Genomic DNA, 6000 nt, shown 5'->3' on the forward strand with positions numbered 1-6000 from the left:
TTGCATTTCTCTAATGATCAGTGATGTTGAGCTTTTTTTATATGATTATTGGCTACATGTATGTCTTCTATTGAAAAGTGTCTGTTAACATCCTTTGTCCACTTTTTAATGGGGTTTGTTTTTCTTTTATACATTTATTTAAGTTCCTTATAGATGCTGGATACTAGACTTTTCTCAGATGCATGGTTTGCAAAACTTTTCTCCTATTCCGTAGGTTGTCTGTCTACTCTACCAAGTTTCTTTTGTTGTGCAGAAGCTTTTGTTGCAATTGCTTTTGGCATCTTTTTCATGAAATATTTGCTCGTACCTGAATGGTATTGCCTAGGTTGTCTTCCAAGGTTTTATAGTTTTGGGTTTTACATTTAAGTCTTCAATCTATCTTGAGTTAATTTTTCTATATGATGTAAGGAAAGAGTCAAGATTTAACCTTCTGCATATGGCTAGCCAGTTATGCCAGCATAATTTGTTGAACAGGGATCCTTTCCTCCATTGCTTGTTTTTGTCACGTTTGTCAAAGATCATATAATTGTAGATATATGTTCTTATTTCTGGCTTCTCTAGTCTGCTCTATTGGTCTATGTCCCTGTTTTTGTATCAGTACCATGAGGTTTTGGTTACTGTAGCCCTGTAGCATGGTTTGCCTCCAACTTTGTTCATTCTGCTTAGGATTGCCTTGGCTATTTTTTGGTTCCATGTGAATTCTAAAATATTTTTTCTAGTTCTGTGAGGAATGTCAGTGTTAGTTTAATAGGCATAGCATTGAATCTATTAATATAATTTGCTTTGGGCAGTATGATCATTTTAATGATATTGATGCTTCCTAGCCATGAGCGTGGAACGGTTGTGTTATCTCTGATTTATTTGAGCAGTTCTCCTTTTTTATTTGTAGTTCTTTTTTTTTTCTTTCACTTCCCTAGTTAGCTGTATTCCTAGATACTTTATTCTTTGTGTGCAATTGTGAATGGGAGTTCATTCCTGATTTGGCTCTTGGCTTGACTGTTGTTGGTGTATAGGAATGCTAGTGATTTTTGCACATTGATTTTGTATCCCGAGACTTTGCAAAAGTTGCTTATCAGCTTAAGAAGCTTTTGGGCTGAGACGATGGCCTTTTCTAGATATGGGAGCATGTTATCTGCAAATAGGAATAGGTTGACTTCCTCTCTTCCTATTTGGATGCCCTTTATTTCTTTCTCTTGCCTGATTGCCCTGGCTAGAACTTACAATACTATACTGAATAGGAGTAGTGAGAGAGGTCATCCTTGTCTTGTTGCCTGTTTTCAAGGGGAGTGCTTCCAGCTTTTGCCCATTCAGTATGATCCTGGCTGTGGGTTTGTCATATATGGGTCTTATTATTTTGAGGTATGTTCCTTCAACACCTAGTTTATTGAGAATTTTTAACATGAATGGATGTCGAATTTTATTGAAAGCCTTTTCTGCATCTATTGAGATAATCATGTGGTTTTGTCTTGAGTTCTGTTTATGTGATTAATCAAATTTATTGATCTGCATATGTTGAACCAACCTTGCATCCCAGGTATAAAGCCTACTTTATTGTCTTGCATAAGCCTTTTGATGTGCTGTTGGACTCAGTTTGCCAGTATTTTGTTGAGGATTTTTGCATCGATGTTCATCAAGGATATTGGCCTGAAGATTTTGTTGTTGTTGTTGTTGTTGTTGTATCTCTGCCAGATTTTGGTGTCAGGATGATGCTGGCCTCATAGAATGAGTTAGGGCAGAGTACCTCCTCCTCAATTTTTGGAATAGTTTCAGTAAGAATGGTACCAACTCTTCTTTGTACATCTGATAGAATTCAGCTGTGAATCCCCTGGTCCTGGGCTTTTTTCGGTTGCTAGGCTATTACTGCCTGCATTTCAGAGCTCACTATTGGTCCGTTCAGGAATTCAATTTCTTCCTGGTTCAGTCCTAGGAGTGTGTATGTGTCAGGAATGTATCCATTTCTTCTAGGGTTTCTAGTTTATGTGCATACAGTTGTTCATAATATTCTCTGATAGTTTTTTGTATTTCCGTGGGGGGTCAGTGGTAATATCCCCCTTGCCGTTTCTGGTTGTATTTATTTGAATCTTCTCTCTTTTCTTCTTCATTAGTCTGGCTGGTGGTCTATTGATTTTATTAATTTTTTTCAAAAAATCAGCTCCTGGATTCAGTGATCTTTTGAATGGTTTTTCGTGTCTCTATCTCCTTCAGTTCAGCTCTGATTTTGGTTATTTCTTGTCTTCTTCTAGCTTTGGGATTTGTTTGCTCTTGATTCTCTAGTTCTTTTGGTTGTGATGTTAGGTTGTTAACTCAAGATCTTTCTAATTTTTTGATGTGGGCATTTAGTGCTATAAATTTCTCCCTTAACGCTACTTTAGCTGTGTCTCAGAAATTCTGGTATGTTATATCTTTGTTTTAATTAGTTTCAAAGAACTTCTTGATTTCTGCCTCAATTTCATTATTTAACCTAAAATCTTTCAGGAGAGTCTTTCATGGAACTGTAATACAATTACCATTTCCATGTAATTGTATCGTTTTGAGTGAATTTCTTAGTCTTGATTTCTAAGTTGATTGCACTGTGGTCCAAGAGACTGTTTATTATTTCAGTTGTTCTGCATTTGCTGAGGAGTGTTTTACTTCCAATTGTGTGATCAATTTTAGAGTATGTGCCATGTGATGATGAGAAGAATGTATATTCTTTTGTTTGCAGTAGAGAGTTCTGTAGATGTCTATCAGGTCCATTTGATCCAATGCAGAGTTCAGGTCCTAAATATCTTTGTTAATTTTCTGCTTCGATGATCTGTCTAATACTGTCAGTAAGTCTCCTACTATTATTGTGTGGAAGTCTACGTGTCTTTGAAGGCCTCTAAGAGCTTGCTTTGTGAATCTGGGTGCTCCTGTGTTGGGTGCATATACGTTTAGGATAGTTAGATCTTCTTGTTGAATTGAACCCTTTACCATTAAGTAATGTCCTTCTTTGTCTTTTATTATCTCTGTTGGTTTAAAGTCTGTTTTGTCAGAAACTAGGATTGCATCACCTGCTTTTTTCTGTCTTCCATTTGCTTGGTAGATTTTTCTCCATCCCCTTATGTTGAGTCTATGTCTGTCATTGCATGTGTGATGGGTGTCTTGAAGATAGCATACCAATGGGTCTTGGTTCTTTATCTGGCTTGCCACTCTGTGTCTTTTAATTGGGGCACTTAGCCCATTTACATTTAAGGTTAGTATTGATTTGTGTGGATTTGATCCTGTCATCATGATGTTAGCTGGTTATTTTGTAGGCTTGGTTATGTGATTGCTTTATAGTGTCACTGGTCTGTGTACTTTAATGTGCTGTTGTAGTGGCTAGTAACAGTCTTTCATTTCCATATTTAGGGCTTCCTTCAGGAGCTCTTGTAAGGCAGATCTGGTGGTAACAAATTCCCTCAGCATTTGCTTGTCTGAAAGGGATCTTATTTTTCCTTTGCTTATGAAGCTTAGTTTGGCTGGATGTGAAATTCTGTGTTGGAATTTCTTTTCTTTAAGAATGTTGAATATTGGCCCCTAATCTCTTCTGGCTTCTAGGGTTTCCGTGGAGAGGTCTGCTGTTAGTCTGATGGGCTTCCCTTTGTAGGTGACCTGGCCTTTCTCTCCAGCTGCCTTAAACATTTTTTTCTTCCATTTCGACCTTGGAGAAGCTGATGATTATGTGTTAGGGATGATCTTCTCATGCAGCATCTTACTGGGGTTGTCTGCATTTCCTGAATTTGAATGTTGACCCCTTTAGTTAGGTTAGGGAAGTTCTCATGGAGGATATCCTGAAATATGTTTTCCAAGTTGATTCCATTCTTCCCATCTCTTTCAGGTACAACAAGCAGTCGTAGATTCAGTCTCTTTACATAATCGCATATTTCTTCATGGTTTTTTCATTCATTTTCATTCTTTTTTATATACTCTTATCTGCTTGTCTTACTTCAGAAAGTCAGCCCTCAGGTTCTGAGATTCTTTCCTCCTCTTGGTCTATTCTGCAGTTAATACTTGTGATTGCATTATGAAATTCTTGTAGTGTGTTTTGCAGCTCTATCAGGTCAGTTACATTCTCTATACTGGCTATTTTTTCTGTCAGCTCCTACCATGTTTTATCATGATTTCTAACTTCCTTGCATTGGGTTACAATGTACTCCTGTATCTCAGTGAACTTCTCTCCTATACTTCTGTCATTTCAGCCATCTTAGCCTCAGCCTGGTTCCAAACCCTTGCTGGACAGGTGATGAAGTCATTTGGAGGAAAGTAGGTACTCTGGCTTTTTGAGTTTTCAGCATTCTTGCACTGATTCTTTCTCATCTTTGTGGGCTTATCTACCTTCAACCTTTGAGGTTGCTGACCTTTGGATGGGTTTTTTTTTCTTTTATCCTGTTTGATGACCTTGAGGATTTGATTGTGGTATAAGGTGGATTCATCCATCTGGCTTCGTTTCTGGAAGATTTTAGGGGGCCAATGTTCAGCTCCCAACCCCTGGACTGCATGCTGTATCTCTGGGGGACTTGTATTGGGCCCCACCTTGCTCTCTGGCTCCTTGACATTTGGAGTCTACTGTACTGGGGGGATCAAGGTGCAGCAGCTGCAGCCAAGTGCTAGTGGATGCAGAGGTGCCTGCCTCCCTGTGGGCATTCACCACTGCAGCAGAGGCAAAGCAGCTGTGGGGAGCAGGGAGCAGGGAGCAGGGGGCCACTGCTGGAGACTGTGTAGGCTGTTACTTCGGAGGTAATGTTGGCTTGGGGCAGAGTGCTGGCTGGCTCAGGTCTGGGTGCCTTTTCTGTTCCCCACAAGCAGGAGTGATTGCTCAGGGTATGGGCAGATCCCCTGTTCGCTGTTCGCTGGTGAGGCAAGACTTGCTGGCTCTGTGCCCACCAAGGCTCCATCTCCAACAGTAATCGGCAGGGGTTGGGGGCCTACTGCACTCCCACTTGCTGGCAGAGCAAGTAAAGGAAAACCCACCTGTGCAGACAGGTGCCCACAGAGTGATGTAGGGAGTTGCTGTGGGCTTGGGGGTAGCTGCACAATGGGGAGTTAACATGCAGGCTGGTGCAAGGCCATAGGAGCTGCCACACTGGAGCTCTCTGCCAGTCAGGCATGATCCACCAGCACAGAAGCCATGGTGTGGGCCCCCAGGGCACGCAAGACTGCCCTGTAAGCAGGTGTGGCCAGGCTGGGGCCCTGGGAGAGGACAGAAGACCAAGGAGTGCTCAGGTCTGACCAGCCCTGTCTGATGTGCAAGACTGCCCAGCACAGATCAGGTCAGACAGTTACCATAGTGCTAAAGTCTCTTATGGGAGCATGTTGAGCTTGAAGGGGTGGCCATGCTTGGCCATGCTCTGCTACAGATGTTCCTGTGCCAAAACCTCTGGGCTCCACATCAGCTGGCTTGCTGCTTCACCACTTTGCTTGTCTCCTGGGGGCTCCACCCCAGAGAAATGTGAGTCAGCAGTAGCTCAGTGCAGTTAGCCCAGGATAGAGTTTCTGTGCTGTAAGCCCAAGCCAGGGGTTCCCTGTCTGGTGACAAGCAGTGGACGGTTTGTGGGACCCATGAGAGACAAACTGGCCTCCTCTCCTTGGGTTGAGTGTAGCTTGTTGGAGGTGTGGATAAACTTAGGGTCTCTGCTTCTTTGTTAGTCCGAAGTTGGCAAGGACGGTTCCACTGCCAAAGCAGAGGCAGAGAGGATTTCACTTGCCCCTGGGGACTCTGTCCAGGAAGTTGCTGAGTTGCTACTGGCGCAATAGCTCTGGCAGGGGTTAGTTAGAGTCCCAGGCCTGGAAGACCTGCCTAGTAAGGAGGGTATGGGAATGGGCACCCATGTAACAGTCTAGCCACTTTTCTACAGGGATGCTGTGGTATGCTGGGGGTCCACTCCAGTCCCTAGTCGCCTCAGATAGTCTAGTACCTGAAGGTATCACCAGTGAAGGCTGTGAAACAGCAAAGATCGCAGCCTGCCCCTCCCTCTGGGAGCTCCATCCCAAGGAGGTATG

The sequence above is a fragment of the Homo sapiens genome, chromosome X (assembly GCF_000001405.40).
Source record: "Homo sapiens chromosome X, GRCh38.p14 Primary Assembly".
NCBI lineage: Eukaryota > Metazoa > Chordata > Mammalia > Primates > Hominidae > Homo > Homo sapiens.